The sequence below is a fragment of the Homo sapiens genome, chromosome 11, assembly GCF_000001405.40.
Source record: "Homo sapiens chromosome 11, GRCh38.p14 Primary Assembly".
Lineage (NCBI taxonomy): Eukaryota > Metazoa > Chordata > Mammalia > Primates > Hominidae > Homo > Homo sapiens.
Window position 1 is genome coordinate 20060001 of NC_000011.10, and position 22711 is coordinate 20082711.

Below are 22711 nucleotides of genomic sequence, written 5' to 3' on the forward strand. Positions count from 1 at the left end.
TGGAACACAGCCTTGCTGTTGCTATTTACAAAGTGAGAGGAGTTAATTATTGAGAAAAATAATTACCTCTACCTTAAGCCTGCCAGATGTGCTCTTCTCTGCCTGTGGCCCCATGCTTGTACCGAGTTGTTGCTAAAACTGTGTCAGTAAATGTATGTATATGAGATGTAGAAATAGAAAAGAAAAAACTTCCATTTTCCATTAGCCACAGGCCATATAGCAGCCCTGTGCTAGTCTCTGGCAGGCCAGTCATGCAAGTGTGTGTGGCTATGTGTTACACACATCTCTTCACCCAGCTTGGCCTCCAACATAATTCCTCCACTATTGTCTGTGTCGTAAGCTGAATTAACTTACCTCTGTGGAACATTAGGCCACAAAGTTGGGACATTAAAGGCCTCTGTTAATGTGTGGACATATTAACACTGAAAGCCATTATTGGCCATTAACACCTTAACCTGATTTTTTATGGGCATGAGTCAGATTAGTCATGGATGAAGAAAGCACGGAGGAAAAGATCTAGAACGCAGGGCATTGCTAAGGAGGGTGGATGTACATGCTGATATAGGGACAGCTTAGAGCATTAGGGAGCTGCTAAGAGAGAAGAGGGCTGGAATAGCAAGCCAAGAGTTACGTGGGCTCAGAGGGAGGAGGAAGCCCTCCCAGGTGGCAGTCTGCGAAATGAGGAAAGGTCCCATAGAGAAGATGTCATTTGAGCAGATCTGTTTTGATAGACAGTATTTAGATGCAGCCTAAACGAAGAGAACTGCATGGGCAGAGACTCTGAGGCAGGAAAGTACTGTCTAGGGCAAGCTTGGGAGAGCAGTGCAGAATTCATAGTGTAACAAGAACATATAAGGGAAGAAGGAGAGGTCAGGGAAGGTTTATTGGAAAGATGACAGAGAGGAACCTGAGTGTTAGGCTGAGCTACTTATCAGCTATCTTGTTGGCATATAGCTTCTGCTGACTGCTAATCCAAGGTGAGTTCACTTCGTGGGTGGTAGATGAATGCCATTTAGTACACGTGGAAGTTACCCCAGTGCCTCCCACTTTAGACTACAGGTCATAACTCGGTGTGGGAGTAGAGCCATTCCACCCATGGCCAGGAAAGCTGTGCCCAGTTACAAGTCCTGTGACGCCTTAACATAGGAATAGTTCTGTTTTTCAAACAAGTTGTCGAGAAGTTACCAAGAAAATAAAGAACCTTCTTCCCACAGAAGAAGGCAGCCAGAATACCCAAGTCCTAGAAAACACTATATTGCAAAATTAGAACAAATAATAAGATGTCTTGGCCGGGCGCGGTGGCTCATGACTGTAATCCCAGCACTTTGGGAGGCCAAGCTGGGTGGATCACCTGAGACTGGGAGTTCGAGAGCAGCCTGACTAACGTGGAGAAACCCCATCTCTACTAAAAATACAAAACTAGCCAGGCATGGTGGCGCACGCCTATAATCCCAGCTACTCAGGAGGCTGAAGCAGAAGAATCACTTGAACTTGGGAGGCAGAGGTTGTGGTGAGCTGAGATCGTGCCATTGCGCTCCAGCCTGGGCAACAGAGTGAAACTCCATCTCAAAAAAAAAAAAAAAAAGATGTCTCCACTGGCTGGGGGCAGGAAGGGTGCTAAGGACATATAAGTGGTTCTAGTCCAAAAGTATCAGTTTGAAACAGAAAAGAAGACACCACTTGCTCATCACTTTGTAGACATGATAGAAATCAAATAAAGAATCTATATTTTGATGGATATGTTTTCTAAACAAATATTCTGCTATATGGTCATCTAGAATGAACTTACTGTGGCCAACAGCCTCTTAGGTTAAAAATAATCAGCTCTTTTTTTGCATATACAACTGACAGATGCCAACAGGGTAAAAAACTGTATTTGGAACACAGTCTTAACCCTAAAGGAATACATTAGAAAAAAGAGTGAAGCGAAATATGCTGGAACAGTAACAGGTTGCCTCCGGGCAATGCAATTGTGAGTCAGTGCAGGTTGTGACAGTGAATATGCTTCTTAACACTTCTCCGTACTTGAACATTTTTGTTCAGTAATCATATATTATTTTGACAGTCAAGAGAAAAAGTATTCAGAAGGTTGAAGGGAAAAATGCGGTAATAGAAAAGTGACATCCTTAGCAAACTATTACTTATTTGTCACTGACCTATCGCCAAACCAGGAAAGGTTGTGTCAAGGTGAGATTAAGTCATTCCAAGCCTGGAGTGTCCTGTATTGCTGATGTTCTCCTCCCCTGTCCCCTTTTTGGTTCCATAACAGCCATCTATCAATTCACCTTTTTTTTTTCTTTTAATAGTTCATGGATCCTCACTCTCCTTGGTTTCCAGCACATCGTCAGTTTATTCTACAGTGAGTATAAATCAATGCTGTGTGGCTGTGATCATGAGAACTGGGGTTCCTTTATCAAATGTGTCAAGAATAAAATATATGCATTTATCCTAGGGAAAGCATTTCCATTATAAGGGGATCAATTAATTAGGGAACAAGATTTAAAATTCACAAACAGCTATTAATTATATTATACCAACCCCAAAATCCAGAACTGGCTGCCTTGTTAAAGTGGCATTGTGCTTTAGGTGATAACTATTTAGAATGTGTGAGAAGCCTTGGCCACCTGCTGATGGACTTGGAAAATAAAGGCCTTGAGCAATTTATTAATCCTTTGTCTGCCTCAGTTTCTTTCTTTCTTTCTTTTTTTATTTGAGACGGAGTCTCCCTCTGTTGCCCAGGCTGGAATGCAGTGGCTTGATCTCGGCTCACTGCAACCTCCGCCTCCTGGGCTCAGGTGATTCTCCTGCCTCAGCTTCCTGAGTAGCTGGGACTATAGGCATGTGCCACCACGCCCAGCTAATTTTTGTATTTTTAGTAGAGACAGAGTTTCACCATATTGGCCAGGCTGGTCTCAAACTCCTGACCTTGTGATCCACCCACCTCGGCCTCCCAAAGTGCTGGCATTACAGGCGTGAGCCATGGTGCCCGAACAGCCTCAGTTTCTTTATCTGTAAAGTAGAAATAATAGCAGTTCCTACCTTATAGAGGTGTAATGAGGATTAAATGTTATAAAGATTACATTTCACTACAATATAAACTCTTTCTAGACAAGGACATTTTTGTTTTTATTCCTAGTGCCTAGAACAGTACCTAGCACGTAGTAGGTATTTTTTAAGTAGGTTTGAAAGAAATGGGAAAATGAATCTAAAACAATGAATATAGTACACACAGCTCAGAGCAAGCACTCCTAAATGCTAGCTATCATCCATGAGAGAGGTTTAGTAAACGAAAGCCAAATGTAATCAAATACATTTAGATCTTCAGTACTACTGGATTTGTTCAGTAGTATTTACTTTTTATAGCTGTACACTATTTATTTTATTTTATTTTAGACAGACTCTCGCTCTGTCGCCCAGGCTGGAGTAAAGTGGCACGACCTTGGCTCACTGCAACCTCTGCCTCCTGGGTTCAAGCAATTCTCCTGCCTCAGCCTCCTGAGTAGCTGGGATTACAGGCAGGCACCACCATGCCTGGCTAATTTTTTTACATTTTTAGTAGAGACGGGATTTCACCATGTTGGCCAGGCTGTTCTTGAACTCCTGACCTCAAGTGATCCGCCCATCTCAGCCTCCCGAAGTGTTGGGATTACAGGCGTGAGCCACCGCGCATGGCTATAGCTGTATGCTATTTACTTTAAAAACAGTAATTTGGGAATTTCTACAGGGAAAAAAAAAGTCTCTTTGTTAATTGTGAATTGGAAATTCTTTAGCCCTTAATCCCATGGAAACAAATGTTTTAATAATTTAGGTTTTGATAATGCCTGGTTTCTATATAGCAGAATACACTGTGTATAGCTCCTGGAAAATAAGAGGACACCCCAGAATCAAGTTAAAGATACCAGGGCCTAACTTAGGCCTGTATTGAGCAAACAAACTTCAGTGATTGCTGATATGGTCTGTTTTGAAGGACCTAGAAACCCTTGCTTCTACCCACCTCACCCCTCCAACTCTAAAATTCCTCTTTCCTCAGCTAGTCATCTTGTTTGAAATTTCATCACTAAGTCCTAGCTTTCCTTTTAAAGGCTTTATATAGAGTAACCTTGGAGAGAGGTTTTTTAAGCCATCATCTGCTAAGAAAGCATAGAGATGGTCTTTCAGCTGTCAGCCAGTAGATAAACTATGTCCTTTCTTCTAGAATGAAACTGTGGGATATGGGTACCAAGGCTGGTACTTTCAAACCTAAATGCACTTCTTCAACAGTATTTACTAGCACCATGGATATACCAGGCTCTGGACTAACCCCTAGGATATAATTTAGGAGAGAAAGGAGCCTGCTACTGACGGAGGAAGCTGTAGGCACCAGAGGGACATGGGACTCTAGCTTCACAGGACTGGCACAGAGAAGCTGTAGTGGATGTTTCAGTGCCCAGCCCCGTGTTTTCCCTGTGGCATTCCCAAGGGTTCTTGCCAACACAGAGGGGAGTGGGTTTTCCAGAAGAGTAAAAAAATGGGAGACTGGCCAGCATTATGCAGACTTGGAGGGAAAGAGCTTAAGCTTCTCAACCTGTGTGTCTTCAGATCTAGGAAACTGTCACATGCAGTTCCTGGGGGCAGCCCCTTCATGCCAACCACTAGAAGTCCTTACAGTAAAAGACTCTCCTTCAGTAGCTGTTGTTCTGGGTATGGGGACGTGAAGATACTGTTTTCATGAAATTTGAAATTGTCTTTTCTGAGCTAATATAAATTCAATGAATTAGTAAAGACCTAATAATAATACTTTTGAATTCCATTTTTATCTGGATAACAAGAGACCCGAGGTGTAATCATAGCGTTCTTCTCACCATATGACTTTGGACAAGTCATCTGGTTATTCAGAGTGTCTCCCCAGTTTTGCCCTTGGCATCAGGAAACCAAGCAAGGTGATCTTCTGAGGCCCCTACAATCTCTGACATTCCATGAGTCATGGAGTCAAAGGCTCCCATTTACTGTCCTCAGTATGCCTTCTCTGAGAATATAGGTTGCTTTTGCAGACTTAAAAAAAAATAGCCTATCAGTGGAATGTTTTTATGCTGGTGCTGTCTACTAATTTCAAGAAAAACTACAAGTCTGGCTAGACTCTGCTACCGCCTAGCACTGAGGTGTGGTCCTTTATCTGTTATTACATTCTTCGTGATAATGAAATTCTGAAACACATGCTCCAGGCACCTTTGTAAATGTTAAGGTGAATAAAGTATTTGTTTGTTGTCTGAAAAGAGATCTTTGAAATGTTAAGTTGCCACAGACCCAGACCAAGGAGCCTGCTGAGAGTTTTAAAGGCTCTTATTGGATGACAGTAGATTCTTTCCTTGAAATGTCTATAATGAATATTCAAGAATGCTCATTCTGCATGAAATTTGCAATTTTAATTATCAGTGAAAGAAAAGATTACACAGTGCTAAATGATTGCCATGGAAAAGTTATGGCTACCTCTTGGAGTAGAGAAAATCTCAAAGGCCACTTCTGGCATTAGACTTGCTTTCTTGTTTGGTAGGGAACACTGGAGTTCCCAGGAGAGCTGCTGGATGGATGGAGGCTAGCAGCTTCACATAGTGTTACCAGATGTGCAGAACAGCGGCAAGGGGGGCAAGATACAAAGCACATGCTTTCTCTAGGCTGCTGTTGATAATTGGGGCCCAACCCCAGAGACAGGTGGGCACAGTGACAGACAGTGGCAGAGGCATGGGGAAGGGCTGTTAGGGCCTGTCGATAGAAGTGTTTCAAAGTAGCCTTGTCCTATGTGGATGGCTAAGCCTGCTAACAGGCCTCCGCCAGCCTTCTAAATGTTAGATAGTGGTTACATTCTCACCATTAACTTGTACCCTTTGGATTGAACTTGGGGCTTATTTCTGGAAAGCCCCCGTGAGAATGTAACTATAGTAAAAGTGCAGGAGAATATGCCTAGGCTCTGGAGCCAGACTACTTTAGATCCAGTCCCAACTCTGCCACTTACCAGCTGTGACCCTGGACAAATGACTGAACCTTCCTGTGCCTCAGTTTCCTCATACACAAAACAGAAAGCAATAGTATTAGTACCTCCTCAAAGAGTTGTTAAAAGGATTAGATGAATAATGAATGTAAAGTGCTTGGAACAGTCTCTGGCACATGGTAAGCATTCAATAAATGCTAGCTGTTATTACCAGAATGCAGGCAACACAAGGTCAGGGACTTGGTCATGTTCACGGCTCTATCTTAGGTTCTTAAAAATAGTGCCTGGCACACAGTAGGAAATCAGTAAGTATTTGATAGGTGGTGGTAGTGAGGATAGATGGACAGACAAAGACAAATGAATATTATCTGGGAGGGAAGATTGAGCTCTGAAGACATCTTCCAACCTTCTCCTGAAAGCATTTCTTAGATAAGGAGGTTGTTCAGTGTGACTTTATACAAGACATTTAACGTCTCTGAACCTCAGAAGGAATACAAACAAACCTACCTAATGGAGTTTCTGCAAGGATTAAATGACTTGGCTCCGTGTATTTAAAAATTGGTTGCTGCTAGTAGGAGCCAACCTAGAGGAGGGGACTTGTGGGCAGGATCAGGAGGGAGGACAATGGGGAGCATAGGTTGAAGGCGGATCAGACAGGAAGCAGCTGCCTACCTATTCCAGCTGATGGATGTGCCCTGCGAGTTCTAATGAATCATACCCACTTTGTATTGTGAACTAATGGAGATGCTGACATCAGGGTCAGATGCTGATTTTTAAAAAATAATGGGCTTATGCCTAGTAAAATTGGATTAGGACACCTAGCGAGGACCCAAGGACAAAATAGAGTTCTTACTGATGTTCACTCACCTATCTGGTTCCCAAGTCACTCTTCCCTCCCTGGGTACAGCGATGGGTAGAGAGAAGGTCAGGAACACTCAACATTTCCAGGAAGGAGGAGGGTTCCTCTTTATGAGCCCCTGTGGGAACCAGAGGAGAGGGAAAGAAAGGTTCCTCCTGCAGCAGGCTCCCCAATTCATGTGGGCTCCCCCTGTGGGAGGAGAGAGGGTCTTATAGTTTCTGGCTAGCAGGTACCTGTGTCACCTAGACACAGAGCCAGCATGTAAGGGACAAAGAGGGAAGCCAGTAAGAGGGGCAGCAGAGTTCACGATTACTTCACAGGGTCACAGGTAATTGGGGTCCTTGAAATGGGACAGCACGAAGATGAAGGCCACATTTATCCTCACAACCTGTGGAGTTACCAGGCTGGCTGATAGGGGCTCCCAAACCCCCCTCACTTTGAGATCTTTCTACCCTGGTGCTCCCACTGTGGTGTCCTAGGGAAGTGAGAGGAGGGCAGAAAATGGGGCAGAATTAACCCAGGAGCAGTCTTCCTTGCTCCCTAGACAGGGTTGCCAGAGAAAATACTAAACCCTCAATTAAATGTGAAATTTAGATTAACAACAAAATTTTTTTTAGTATAAATATGTCCCTAATATTGCATGGGACATATTAGACCCTTTATTTTATTTTTTGAGACGGGTAGCCTCTGTTGCCCAGGCTAGAGTGCAGTGGTGTGATCTCAGCTCACTGCAATCTCCACCTCCTGGGTTCAAGCCATTCTCCTGCCTCAGCCTCCCAAGTAGCTGGGATTATGGGTGCATGCCATCACACCCGGCTAATTTTTTTTTTTTTTTTTTGTATTTTTAGTAGAGATGGGTTTCACCATGTTGGCCAGGCTGGTCTTCAACTCCTGACCTCAAGTGGTCCACCAACCTCAGCCTCCCAAAGTACTGGGATGTCAGGCATGAGCTACCATGCCCAGTCCTAGACCTTTTTGTTTTTTTTAAAGCTATTCAAATTTAACTAGGCCTCCTGTATTTTTGTTTACTAAATCTGACTCATGGCCTTCTTATCACATATCTTCTTCTGAGCACTTTACCTATCACCATCCCCGCCTGGGGAGCAGGGTGGCTCCTCACAACCAAAATGTGGAGTGGTGTTCTCATTCTTCCTAATTTTTAAAAATCATAAGCCGTTTGTATTTGGCCTTTCTGATGGGTCAATTTAATTGAACCAGTTTTTCCAGAGAAATACACCAGAAAAGAAACTAATAATTCTTCCAGACTGCTGCAACCATCTGAATATGGTGTTCCCGATGGGCTGGACTACACTATTCTTTGTTCCTTAACTGGTCTAATTTCCTTTATGTTTTCTTTACAGCCAGAAGAAAAATGCCAGTCAGAGGTAAGGAACAGCTTTCTGGTTGGATTTCCTCTTTAAGTATTGTCAATTATTTGACCCTGCTCACCTTGGAAATGGACCCCCAAAGCATGTAACCCTCTCCCTTGTCATCTTTAGATTCGCAAGCTGCGGCGGGAACTGGATGCCTCCCAGGAGAAAGTTTCAGCTTTGACCACCCAGCTGACAGCAAATGTAAGTACAGACATAGGGCAGTAGCATCGGGACAGGAAGCACCATCCTTGCCTTCTGAACAGCCTCAAGTCCTCCTGTGCTGAACAAATAGAAGTAGCACATTATAAAGAAAAAGACACAGGCTTTGGCATCATGGGTGTGAATGTCAGTTTGGACACTTACTGGCTTTGTGACTTTGGGTAAGTTCTTGAATCTCAGCCTGCGTGTCCTTATCTGTGTAACGAGGGTGATAGTATTTACATCTCAGTATTGGCCCACAGTCAATGCTTGCAATATGCGAAGTGCTTATTAAAATCTTAATTTCTCTTCCTCTTTCTGAAAATTTTGATTTTAAGGGTGGGAAAAAGAAGCAAAAAGGAAAGAAGGGGGAAGAAAAGAAATGTAGGGCTTTTCAATATCTAGGTAGCTGCTCTGTCATTGTGATATACACGATTATGAGTTTAGGAGATGCTGCCAACCAGCATTCAATTCAACAACTGTTTGAGTGCCAGCTATGCCCCGGGCACTGTGGGTTCAACAGCAGAGCAAGCACAGTGACTGACATCTTAACATTCAGTCTCTGGGACAGCAGAGAAACAAAACAAACAATTTTGCTATAACATGATAACTGTTAAGATAAAGGGAGGAGGTGGCAGTGGGAATATCTAGGGGGAGCACCTAGCTCACTCTTGGTGGGGGATGAAAAAGGGGACAGCTCATCTGATATTGAAAATAAGAAAAAAATTTTTTAAAAGGGGGACAGGAAGGACTTCCTGGAGGAGGTGACATCTAATGGATGCTAGGTAGGGGAGAATGCATAGGGATGACAGCATTCTAACCAAAGAGAATAATTTGCACAAAGGTTAAGGAGAAAGATCTTGGTGTATTTTGAACTCTCAGTAGGTGGGTGTAATTAGTGTCTATGGCTTGGATGTGGAGGAGAGGTAAGGGTGGAGAGGGGACAGAAGTAGGGAGGAAGAAGGCAGCGAAGAAAGCCAGGGGTCAGATCACAGTGTCTGAGCTGTTGGGGTGAGCATCCGGGCTTCCTCCTGAAGTTAGCAGACACCTCTCAGTGCGTTTTAAGTAAGCAGTGGGTGGGCTGGTTTGCACTTTAGATAGAGGATCAGAGTAGAGGCAGAGGTGCCTCTTCCCCCACCCCCATCAGCCATGTCTGTATTGGAGCCCTGATGCACAGCTGTGACCAGGTGAAGGATGAAGCTCAGAGGGCAGAGCCTGAGATATCGAAAGGTGCTAAGGTGCCTCTGAGGCAAGGCTTGCTGCCCAGGAGTTCACCACCCAGCCTGAGCCCGTTGATAAACGTGTTCAAGCCAGACAGAAAGCAACCTGCATGACCACAGCATGTCGTTAAAATGGAAACCAACTTCAAGAGGCTGTCTTCCCTCAACTAGAAAACTGAGCCAGTCCCCCACATCAGTCATTCGCCCGGAGTTTTTGCCATGGTATTCCCAGCTTGAGCCTTAGTTTACTCAAGGGAACCATTTCTCTTTAAGGTCGGCATGTGACATACCTAGTACAGTGCTTGACCTTAGTTATTAGCTCAGTAACTGGTAGCTGCCCCCATTAATATGTAGTCTCCTAAGTTCTCTTTCTTTTCTGGAAATCTTTGATTTTTTTAAAAACCCTAACGTAGGAGACCACAACGTGTTTTGTAATCTTTTATTTTCTTTACCTCTTCTGCCACCAGTAATGCTATCAAAAGAACTTTAAAAACTGACATGAGAACTTAATTCTGAGGCGTAGGTCCTGTTCAGAAAAACAGTATTCTATAGACAGGTTCTATCCCGTGGGCAGATTCTTCATCTGGATAACTAGATGTGTAGATTTGAATCCAGAACAAACCCTAGACCCAGCAAGTCAGGGTCTTCTGAGTGTAATCCAAATGTGTGGTTTGACAGCAAACCCCTGTCAAACCACAGTGATTCTGAGCTACTCTCCTAGTTTAAGAGTTACAGATGCCAATTGTTGCCTTTACTAATCAACAAATAGTAGTTAACTTACTTTCCGGTGAACTTGGGTTAATTGTTCCAGTGACCTCGTGCTGCCACAGGAGCCTCACCTTGGGCCATTTGGAACTCTGCTCTCTGTTCTAGAAGAGTCAGAGTGAGATCCCTTATATTATTCCAGAAGAGTGTTTTGTTCCTCATAAAAGGCACTGAATCCAGTATTGTTTTAAAGTAAATATTTAGTCTTACCGCACACTGCTGGAAGGGTGAACATGTTTTATTGTCTGCCATCTTTCTCGCAAACCAAGCTGTGTTTGTTTTTCTAGGGCAAACTACTCAAAACCACCTTCTCTGAGTGTTTTTATACCACTTGTGTTTGTTTTCCCTGGGAATGTGAGCGTGGCACTTGATGAGTAGGCTGTTGTGTGTGGCTCTGAACCAGGCTTGGAACAGCCTCCACAGTCTGTATTTTCATAGTTGTGCTAATGACACAAAGGCAACCCTTTTGTTTAGCAGAAAAATGGGATCCTCTGGATCTCCAGAGCAAATGTGTTTTCTTTTTAAGCTTGCAAAAACACCTTCTCAATAGCAGTCTTCATGGGGTCAGGTTTTTTAAATTTTTTTTTTATTATACTTTAAGTTCTGGGGTACATGTGCAGAATGTGCAGGTTCGTTACGTACGTATACATGTGCCATGGTGGTTTGCTGCACCCATCAACTCGTCATCTACATTAGGCATTTCTCCTAATACTATCCCTCCCCTAGCCCCCCACCCCCCGACAGGCCCTGGTGTCTGATGTTCCCCTCCATGTATCCATGTGCCATGTGTTCTCATTGTTCAACTCCCACTTATGAATGAGAACATCCAGTGTTTGGTTTTTGGTTCTTGTGTTAGTTTGCTGAGAATGATGGTTTCCAGCTTCATCCATGTCCCTGAAAAGGACATGAACTCATCCTTTTTATGGCTGCATAGAATTCCATGGTGTATATGTGCCACATGTCTTTATCCACTCTATCATTGATGGGCATTTGGGTTGGTTCCAAATCTTTGCTATTGTGAACAGTGCTGCAATAAACATACGTGTGCATGCGTCTTTATAGTAAAATGATTTATAATCCTTTGGGGGTATATACCCAGTAATGGGATTGCTGGGTCAAATGGTATTTCTAGTTCTAGATCCTTGAGGAATTGCCACACTGTCTTACATAATGGTTGAACTAATTTACACTCTCATCAACAGTATAAAAGTGTTCCTATTTCTCCACATCCTCTCCAGCATCTGTTGTTCCTTGACTTTTTAATGATTGCCATTCTAACTGACATGAGATGGTATCTCATTGTGGTTTTGATTTGCATTTCTTCATATGTTTGTTGGCTGCATAAATGTCTTCTTTTGAAAAGTGTCTGTTCATATCCTTCACCCACTAAATGGGTGGGTGGGTGTTTTTTTCTTGTAAATTTGTTTAAGTTCTTTATAAATTTGTTTAAGTTCTGGATATTAGCCCTTTGTCAGATGGATAGATTGCAAAAATTTTCTTCAATGTTGTAGGTTGCCTGTTCACTCTGATGAAGTTTCTTTTGCTGTGCAGAAGCTCTTTAATTAGATCCCTTTTGTCTATTTTGGTTTTGTTCCCATTGCTTTTGATATTTTAGTCATGAAGGCTTTGCCCATGCCTATGTCCTGAATAGTATTGCCTAGGTTTTCTTCTAAGGTTTTTATGATTTTAGGTCTTAGGTTTAATTCTTTAATCCATCTTGGGTTAATTTTTGTATGAGGTGTAAGGAAGGGGTCCAGTTTCAGCTTTCTGCATATGGCTAGCCAGTTTTGCCAACACCATTTATTAAATAGGGAATCCTTTCCCCATTGCTTGTTTTTGTCAGGTTTGTCAAAGATCAGATGGTTGTAGATGTGTGGCATTATTTCTGAGGCCTCTGTTCTGTCCCATTGGTCTATATATCTGTTTTGGTACCAGTACCATGCTGTTTTGGTTACTGTAGCCTTGTAGTATAGTTTGAAGTCAGTGTGATGTCTCCAGCTTTGTTCTTTTTGCTTAAGATTGTCTTGGCTAGGCAGACTCTTTTTTGGTTCCATATGAAATTTAAAGTAGTTTTTTTACAATTCTGTGAAGAAAGTCATTGGTAGCTTGATGGGGATAGCATTGAATCTATAAATTACTTTGGGCAGTATGGCCATTTTCATGATATTGATTCTTACTATCCATGAACATGGAATGTTTTTGCATTTGTTTATGTCCTCTCTTATTTCCTTGAGCAGTGGTTTGTAGTTCTCCTTCAAGAGGTCCTTCACGTCCCTTGTAAGTTGTATTCCTAGGTATTTTATTCTCTTTGTAGCAATTGTGAATGGGAGTTCACTCATGATTTGGTTCTCTGTTTTTCTGTTATTGGCGTATAGGAATGCTTGTGATTTTTGCACATTGATTTTGTATCCTGAGATGTTGCTGAAGTTGCTTATCAGGTTAAGGAGATTTTGGGCTGAGAAGATGGGGTTTTCTAAACATACAATCATGTTATCTGCAAACAGAGACAATTTGACTTCCTGTTTTCCCAATTGAATACCCTTTATTTCCTTCTCTTGCTTGATTGCCCTGGCCAGAACTTCCAATACTATGTTGAATAGGAGCGGTGAGAGAGGGCATCCTTGTCTTGTGCCAGTTTTCAAAGGGAATGCTTCCAGTCTTTGCCCATTCAGTATGATATTGGCTGTGGGTTTGTCATAAATAGCTCTTATTATTTTGAGATACATTCCATCAATATCTAGTTTATTAAGAGTGTTTAGCATGAAGGGCTGTTGAATTTGTCCAAGGCCTTTTCTGCATCTATTGAGATAATCATGTGGTTTTTGTCTTTGGTTCTGTTTATGTGATGGATTACATTTATTGATTTTCTTATGTTGAACCAGCCTTGCATCCCAGGGATGAAGCCCACTTGATCATGGTGGATAAGCTTTTTGATGTGCTGCTGGATTTGGTTTGCCAGTATTTTACCGAGGATTTTCACATTGATGTTCATCAAGGATATTGGCCTGAAATTTTCTTTTTTTGTTTTGTCTTTGCCAGGTTTTGGTATCAGGATGATGCTGGCCTCATAAAATGAGCCAGGGAGGATTCCTTCTTTTTCTATTATTTGGAATAGTTTCACAAGGAATGGTACTAGATCCTCTTTGTACCTCTGGTAAAATTTGGATGTGAATCCATCTAGTTCTGGACTTTTTTTGGTTGGTAGGCTATTAATTGCTGCCTCAATGTCAGAACTTCTTATTGGTCTTCTCAGGGATTTGACTTCTTCCTGGTTTAGTCTTGGGAGGGTGTATGTGTCCAGGAATTTATCCATTTCTTCTAGATTTTCTAGTTTGCTTACGTAGAGCTGTTTATAGTATTCTCTGATGGTAGTTTGTATTTCTGTGGGATTGGTGGTGATATCCCCTTTATCATTTTCTATTGCATCTTATTTGATTCTTTTCTCTTTTCTTCTGTATTAGTCTGGCTAGCAGTCTATTTTGTTGATCTTTTCAAAAAACGACCTCCTGGATTCACTGATTTTTTGAAGGGTTTTTTGTGTCTCTATCTCCTTCAGTTCTGCTCTGATCTTAGTTATTTCTTGTCTTCTGCTAGCTTTTGAATTTGTTTGCTCTTGCTTCTCTAGTTCTTTTAATTGTGATCTCAGGGTGTCGATTTTAGATCTTTCCTGCTTTCTCTTGTGGGCATTTAGTGCTATAAATTTCCCTCTACACACTGCTTTAAATGTGTCCCAGATATTCTAGTATGTTGTATCTTTGTTCTCATTGGTTTCAAAGAACATCTTTATTTCTGCCTTCATTTCCTTATGTACCCAGTAGTCATTCAGGAGCAGGTTGTTCAGTTTCCATGTAGTTGTGTGGTTTTGAGTGAGTTTCTTATTCATGAGTTCTAATTTGATTGCACTGTGGTCTGAGAGTCTGTTTGCTATGATTTCCATTCTTTTGCATTTGCTGAGGAGTGTTTTACTTCCGATTATGTGGTCAATTTTAGAATAAGTGTGATGTGGTGCTGAGAAGAACATATTTTCTGTTGATGTGGGGTTGAGAGTTCTGTAGATGTCTATTAGGTGTGCTTGGTCCAGAGATGAGCTCAAGTCCTGGATATCCTTGTTAATTTTCTGTTTTGTTCATCTGTCTAATATTGACAGTAGGGTGTTAAAGTCTCCCACTGTTATTGTGTGGGAGTCTAAGTCTCTTTGTAGGTCTCTAAGGACTTGCTTTATGAATCTGGGTGCTCCTGTTTTGGGTGCATATATATTTAGGATAGTGAGCTCTTCTTGTTGCATTGATCTCTTTACCGTCATGTAATGGCCTTCTTTGTATCTTTTTATCTTTCTTGGTTTAAAGTCTGTTTTATTGGAGACTAGGATTGCAACTCTGCTTTTTTTTTTTTTTTTGCTTTCCATTTGCTTGGTAAATATTCCTTCATCCCTTTATTTTGAGCCTATGTCTGTCTTTGCACGTGAGATGGGTCTCCTGAATACAGCACACTGAAGGGTCTGGGCTCTTTATCCAATTTGTCAGTCTGTGTCTTTTGATTGGGGCATTTAGCCTGTTTACAATAGGAATGCCCGTAAGTGGAGTCATGGGTGACAATCAAATGCAGAACTGAAATCAATGGAAATCCAATCATTTACATTTAACTTTGTCATTCATTTGCAATATGAGGATAGTAAATGTTCTTTGAAACATCCAGGCCCTGGCCTGTTTCCTTTGTCAACTATGTGACTGTCATAAATTGATTGGCTTTTGTTTTGCCACACTCTCCAGGGCAGACTAAAGCATATCTCTTTATTTTAAAATGCAGAGGCACTGTCTCCATGTTTTTTGTTTTTTTGTTTTGTTTTTTTTTTTTTTGAGACAGAGTCTCATCCCGCTCTGTTGCCCAGGCTGGAGTGCAGTGGCACAATCTTGGCTCACTGCAAGCTCCGCCTCCCGGGTTCACGCCATTCTCCTGCCTCAGCCTCCCGAGTAGCTGGGACTACAGGTGCCCACCACCATGCCCAGCTAGTTTTTTGTTTGTTTGTTTGTTTTTGTATTTTTAGTAGAGACGGGGTTTCACCGTGTTAGCCAGGATAGTCTCGATCTCCTGACCTCAGGGTCCGCCCGCCTTAGCCTCCCAAAGTGCTGGGATTACAGGCATGAGCTACCACGCCTGGCCTGTCTCCATTTTTAATAGAGAGAGGGAGTGCAATGAGAGAGAAGCTAACTATTCCACTTAACATTTCTACTACAAGTAGAAATGCTCCCTGCCAGCGGTTGATTCTAGAGATGTCTTAGCCTCCACCATCCCTGTTTAATGAAGTCTAATAACAGGCCTCTCTTTACCCCTCACATCTCTCCTTAGATTGAAATGTCACTGTGCCTCCTCACAGTGCACGGCAAAAGCATCTCCCCACCCACCCCCCATGCTTATCCAGCGTTGATTCCTCACTGTGTGTGTCAGTCATCTCCTCCTCTCGAATTTCACAGCATGATCAAATCTCACATCTCCCAAGCTCCTCCCATATATCCTCTGCCCTTCTCATCCCTCTTGCAGCCCACTGTGTTTCTACTCCCCCTGTCTACACCTGTGTTCTCAGGTAGTCTCACTCCTCTCATAGTTTCTCTTGTCACTTTCTCATTCCCAAACCTCCTTTTTTCCCCACAAGTGTCCATGCATTCCTGTGTTTTGCAGTACCTGAACAGTTCATAGACCATTTTCACCGGCCTTGTTTCATTTAGCTGAAAATAACCCTGGGAGGAAAATAGATATTGGTACCATTTCATATATGAAGCTGAGGCTGCTAGGATCAGGTGATTTGCTCTGTTATGGGTATTCAGAAGGAACTACAGGGAGAGCTGAAGACCTCTAACTCTAAATCCTGTTCCCTTCCCCTGTACTACACTGCCTCCTTCATCTAAGTGCTTTTCTTTTCAATCCTTTAATTGCTCATCCAACATATATGATTGAGTGGCTGTTTTTGTACCAGCAGTGTGGATACAGTAAGGAGCAAGGTAGACATGGTGTCAGTCCTCATCAAATGCACAATCTGGTGATCCTTCTCATCTGCTGCTCAAATGCCTCTCACTCTTGGACATGCCACTATTCCATTATACAAGTAGAGATTGGAGATTAGAAGATCCTAGCTGCCTAATGGCTTCTTCAGTCTATTGCTGGAAATTCCTTAGCATGACTGTTTGAAACAGCTCCATTCTTTATTTTTGGCTTTAATAACATTACCAGGATTCTCATTCAATCAACTAATATATCACCTACTACTCTGCTTCACAGTCAAAAGCTTAGTGTTAGGGCACAAAGTTACCTCTTACCCTTGAAGAGAGTTGCAGAGCAAGTGGCAGTCAGGAAAATGCCACATTTCCCCATTCTTAAACTTACTCTTTTTTTGTATTTTAACATCTCTGAAAATTAGATGCTATTTTACTTATAACTGGAAGCATTTAAAAAATTCTTAGAAATATAAAATAATGGTACATCTTATGTCATATTCTAACAGAAGTGTATAAAACTACGTGAAAGCCTGTGGGAAAGTGGTAACCCCCTGGAGGAACTGGGAAACATTTCTCTGAGGAGGTAGCAGATGGGCCTTTCAGTGGCTTTTTATTAACCAGGATTATAACAAGCAAACTACGCCAACCATTTTGTTTGTTCATTCTACTAACATGCTTAATATGAGCCTCTATTGTGAGCTTAGCACTTGGTGAACAGAAGATCATCCTCCATTGTAGTAGAGAAGACAGACATACATTACCAATTACAAGACTGCATGTATTTTTAACTATGATATCTCAAAGTGTATATCAGAAGTACAGTTTGCTTGTGAGAGTGCATATGAGGGTGTCGTGAAAGTACGAGCCGAGAGCTCTTTACACAGACAGGTAAAAATTATTAGGCAAGGAATGGGAGAAAGGGTTGAGAGGGAAGAACATTTCAGGTAGAGGGGAAAAGATGTACAAGGGCCCTAAGATGGGAAGGAGCACGGGTTGTTTGAGCAAGTAGAAGACTGGAGTGACTGGATCCCAAAGAGTGGTGGGGAGTGGGATTCAAGAGGAGGCTGAAAAAGTAGCCTAGATCAATGGACCCACAGGATTTTCATCTTTAAGAGCCAGACACCTTCTAAGCACTCTTGCCTTGCAAGGTAATATAACTGAGGTTGTGTCTTCCCCTCCAGGCTCACCTTGTGGCAGCCTTTGAACAGAGTCTTGGTAACATGACAATCAGGCTCCAGAGTCTGACCATGACAGCTGAGCAGAAGGTAAGGCAGAAAGGATACTTTAACCCTCCCTACTTGGAGTTAACAACAAACTTGAAAATACTATTCTTTCATTTCAGATCATTGTGTGGATGTTAATGTATTTCTTGAACTGTTAAAGTTTAATTGTAAGGAGTCCAATCTGTTGAGTGAAAATATGACAGATTGATAATGGCATCAATGATAGATCTTGTAGTTATAATCCTACTTTTATGTGTTTGTTCATGCCTGTTGATCCATCTGAAAGGTTTTGTTGAGCTACTTCATTCCCGCTCCTCCTGTGTTGAAGCCAAGTTGTACTTCAGTTGAACTCTGTACAGAATGATTTTAGGCTGACCAATAATTTTTTCTGTTCCCTAGGACTCAGAACTGAATGAGTTAAGAAAAACCATTGAGCTGCTAAAGAAACAGAACGCAGCTGCCCAGGCTGCCATTAATGGAGTAATTAACACACCTGAGCTCAACTGCAAAGGTAAAGTAAGGGAAACAGCCTTTAGCCAGAAGACCTGCCTGCCCTTAGGAGCCCTCCCCTGACATCATATGATGCAACCTCCTTGCTAGAAGACAGTGTCTGCGTAATTCAGCTCCATGTCAGGCAAGCAGGAACTGGAAGGCAAACACCTTTAATCAAGTCACTTCTGGCCTCTACAAAGATGGCTATGGTAGTTCATCTTCTTCTCTGATATATCTGAAAAATGGAAGAAAACATGTTTCTATTGGCAGAGTGTTAAAGTATTTTACAACCCTTAATTTCACTAGCACTTTGATATTTGCATGCTGATATATGGCATAAGCTGAACTGAGTTCCTCCCTTATTTGTCCAAGAAAAGATTTCTTTTTTTTTCTGAGACACTCTTGCTCTGTCACCCAGGTTGAAGTGCAGTGGTGCAATCTTGGCTCACTGCAACCTCTACTTCCCGGGTTCAAGTGATTCTCCTGCCTCAGCCTCCCAAGTAGCTGGGATTACAGGCATGTGCCAGCATGCCTGGCTAATTTATGTATTCTTAGTAGAGACAGGTCTTGCCATGTTGGCTGGGCTGGTCTTGAACTCCTGTCCTCAAGCAATCCGCTCACCTCGGCCTCCGAAAGTGCTAGGATTACGAGCATGAGCCACCATGCCCAGCCTAGGAAAACATTTCTAAGTGAATTATTTTGTCCTTGTGTATCTTGGGGTAATGTAGGAGTGCAGGTGACTTAGCTCTTATAACAATAATATTAACAGTAATAGTAATCACAGAAGTAATATGGAGAGCTAGGATTTATGGAATACTTACTACGTTCTAAGGGCAGTGCTAAGTGTTTCAATGATTTCATTATCTGGTTTTCTTTCTACAACAATCTTGTGAGTGTGATTCTGTTCTTTCCTGCTTGTACTGATGAGGACACTAGTGTTCATAGATGAGAGTCACTTCCTTTTTCTTTTTTTGAGACGGAGTTTCACTCTGTTGCCCAGGCTGGAGTGCACTGGCATGATCTCCGCTCACTGTAACCTCTGCCTCCTGCGTTCAAGTGATTCTCCTGCCTCCACCTCCTGAGTAGCTGGGACTACAGGCGCATGCGAACACGCCTGGCTGGTTTTTGTATTTTTAGTAGAGACAGGGTTTCACCATGTTGGCCAGGCTGGTCTCGAACTTCTGACCTCAAGTGGTCTGCCTGCTTTGGCTTCCTAAAGTGCTGGGATTACAGGCATGATCCACTACACCCGGCCGAGGGTCACTTTTTAAGGTCAGGGATTAGGGAGAAACTGAAGTGGGGCTAGAACCTGATGAGTTGGTTTGACCCTACAACTAGTGTTCTCAAAGACCAGCCTTTAGGTGTAGTTCTGTCCTCATGAGAAAAACTATCTGCAAACTTTATGTCAGATATCACACATTTTCAATATCGGTGTTGTTTAGTCTATTGGGCCTCCCGAAAAAGTGATAATAGCTTTGAAATGGGAAGGATTTGCAAATGAGTTGGCTGGACAGAGTCAAGGGAAAAGAATATCCAGATAGAGGGATAGCACATGGAAGGGCCCTAGATGAGGCAGGCATGGCACTTCCAGAGGGCTGCAAGAAGGCCACTGTGACAGGAGCCCAGAGAGCAGGAGAGGGAGGGGGCTAGCAATGAAGGTGCCAACTGCTCAGTTCACAAGCACATTTCCACACCTATCTAAAGCTTAAGAGCTGGTGTTGGGGAAATTCTCCCTACACCTCCCTTGACTTCTGTTTTGTAAAGTGGGGAGAGATAGACCTCATTTAATTGACCAAAGAGGGCAATGCACTCACCTATTCAAGGATCTTAGAAACAGCTGTAGGGATCAGAGTTGATGTATATGTGGAAAACACCCAGTAGTCCTCAGGTGGGTGGGTTTTGCTTAAAGGGCAAAATCCTGAGATAAAGAATAGGGCTCAGGTTGGCAGCTGCTGAAACACCCTGCCTTGGTCTCCAGGAAACGGCACTGCCCAGTCTGCAGACCTCCGCATCCGCAGGCAGCACTCCTCAGACAGCGTCTCCAGCATCAACAGTGCCACCAGCCACTCCAGCGTGGGCAGCAACATAGAGAGTGACTCAAAGAAGAAGAAGCGGAAGAACTGGGTGAGTGCACATCCACTCTCCTGGGGACTGACGGACAGAGTCAGTTGCAGAACTGGCTGCTGCATCTCCCCAGATAAAGTCCAGCCCAGCTACTATCTGTGGAACATAGCACTTTGGGCGTAGATCCCAGGAAATGGTTTGTGGATGGGTTTTTACTAAAATCAATATTGTACTCAGCAAAACACTAGAATCTGTAACATCCCTACCACTTTGTATTTTTTTCTCTTTCATGAGACTTTTCATAAAGTACTCATCTTTCATTTCATATGTGTGTCATTTCTTCCTCATTATATGTTGGCCACAAAGTTTCAGGTACTAGAGGAAAGTTATTCTTAAATGGTTTCTTCATAGATCCAAAATATTTTTTTGAGCATATTGCTAGTTATCCCATCTTTAGCCGTAATCTTTATCTATTTATTTACACAAATGCCTAGGGATATCATCAAACCAACCCTCTCTTTGAAAACTTTTTGACCATGTCCTATAAATAAAAGTGTCCTAATGTCAGTGTTAGAAGTTAGCAAGTAGTTCTAAACCAGGGGTTGTACCTCAAATAGCAAGTTTAATAGAATCAGTCTCCATTACAGTGTTTCTCCATGTTTCATAATCCCAGTGAGTTATTTGAATTTCTGGACAGTGGTGCCTTGAGTGGTTTTTTCCACTCTCCCAGAAAAATTCCACCCCTCACTCTCCATCCAGTTTTTTAATTCTTCTTTAAAGGCTACAGAGCTCTGACTGAGATTTGCTATCCCTTGTCTTCAGTGCAAGAATATCTCAAGTTGATCTGGAGTTGACCAGTGGCCCCGTTCCCCATTTGTGCTGACGGCATCCTGTTTCACTAGTAGCTTCAGTGTCCTCATTCATTCTGTACACTTCTCACTCATTTTGTGTTATCTTGGATGGGTGGCGAGGTCTAGTGATACAGACATCAGGGGTTTAGTAATTTTGGTTGTCAATGACTTGCATTGGAAGCAAGCTAAAAAGCCAGTCTAGTGTGACCCTCTCATCTTTCTGATTAAATTTTCTTTTTTAAGTTACTAATGGCTCTTAGTCAACTTATTTGTTATGACTAAACACAGATAGGATTAATTCATATTGCTGTCTCTAATATGCAATCGATAAACATGGTCAGCTTTGATTTTCAAAGTGACGAGAGAGATATTTTCTACGAAAAATAGTGGTTATTCCATTTTCTTCAAGAAATAAAACGTGCTTATGTTGCTTTAAGACAACTCCCGCTTATCAGTCAAATCAGGGAAGATGGATAATTGGCATCCTCAGCTAATCCCAAAGCTTAGCTCTGTCTGATCTTTGTAATCTCCTCTTCCACCTGGCTTTTCACCAGAGGTAGAGGCAAGGATTTCAGGTGATGGCTTGTGTCCCTAATCCTTCTGTTTCTGTGACTGCTCTCTGGAAATATTATCAGAGGTAGGAAATGGGAGAGAAAAGGGATCTAGATTTGCCCACAAGCTGGACATGTGGTTTATTATAGATGAAACCTGTTGATGGGAGAAAAATCTCATCAGTTTTTAGAATGGCCTGTTTTCTGAATTTTTCAGTGGCTAAGAAAACCCCTGGAACGTATTTTCACAAGGAAAAAAGACTTTAGAAAAAGGAAATTACTTTTAAAAGGCCTGTTTTCAAGATGAAACATTAGTTTTTGGCCTAGAAAAATCTGATTATGGCTTTCAGAGAAGACATTGCATTTTAATTCTTTATGTTCTCATTAAAATGTTTAGGTATCCATTTCCTGCAACAGAGGCGGGGGGGAAAGAATTTTCAGATCCATCTCATGATTTGGGGAAATTGTAATATACTAGTTCCTTTTCCCCCCATATGGTTAATAAATTTCTTTAAAATAACCATTTTCTGAGTAACAAGTGACATGGCTAATTTGCTGCTTATTAGATTATCTTCTTATATACACAAATAGCTGAAACTCCTAAGTGGATAGGTTAAGGAGCTATACAGCCATCCAGGGCCAGTGTGACAGTGAAGCTAGAATTGCTCAAAAAGAAGACATCCTCTCCAACCTCCCCCAAAATTTAAAGCACAGAGAGGTGACTGACAAGAAAAAAGAAGAGAATGAGAAGCACAGGAAGGTGGGAGGCAGCCATTTCAGCCAGACAGGGAAAAGCTGGAAGAACTGGAATTGTAGAGGACTCCCCAACCTGCTATTCCCTTCCTTTCAGAAGGGAGGAACATGCCCCCAGTGCTTTTAAAGATTTGTGTTCCTACTGGAAACCTCCCCTGTGTGTGGTGTTTATTATTAGCCATGTTGTGTCTGAAAGTCCGAAGCTTTCCCTGTCACTGGCTTTCTCTGTTAAAAAATTGTCTTTTTTCCTCCCCCTTCCCCATTTTTGCTTGCGTTTTCTCTGGCAGGTCAATGAGGTAAGCAAGACCAACTTTAATATCAGATACCAAGCTAACCCATCCATTGATATGACTAACCTCATCCGCATCCATCACCGTGTCTGAGCATCCTGCTTTGTTGCTGTGTAA

The 22711-nt window shown here is 42.2% G+C and overlaps 1 protein-coding gene across 50 annotated transcripts in view, besides 1 other annotated feature; it reads left to right on the forward strand.

The window, feature by feature from the left end:
* The window catches only part of NAV2 (neuron navigator 2), a 776366-nt gene that overhangs the window by 714765 nt on the left and 38890 nt on the right, over positions 1–22711 (forward strand). For 26 of the 50 annotated variants that reach the window (XM_017018520.3, XM_017018522.2, XM_047427830.1 and 23 more), the window contains 7 exons: positions 2307–2359; positions 8186–8209; positions 8324–8398; positions 17552–17635; positions 17993–18104; positions 20064–20209; positions 22592–22600. In XM_017018520.3, the coding sequence (XP_016874009.1) occupies positions 2307–2359; positions 8186–8209; positions 8324–8398; positions 17552–17635; positions 17993–18104; positions 20064–20209; positions 22592–22600 (503 nt within the window). The remainder of the gene's footprint in view (positions 1–2306; positions 2360–8185; positions 8210–8323; positions 8399–17551; positions 17636–17992; positions 18105–20063; positions 20210–22591; positions 22601–22711) is intronic. The other 24 variants (XM_047427824.1, NM_001111018.2, XM_047427828.1 and 21 more) reach the window with 1 other exon arrangement.
* Positions 4695–5497: an enhancer, noted in NCBI's record as "OCT4-NANOG-H3K27ac hESC enhancer chr11:20086241-20087043 (GRCh37/hg19 assembly coordinates)". NCBI's record gives its function as "activates a minimal SCP1, AML or CMV promoter by ChIP-STARR-seq in naive H9 embryonic stem cells {active_cell/tissue: H9 hESC(naive)}" and the evidence as "EXISTENCE:reporter gene assay evidence [ECO:0000049][PMID:30033119]".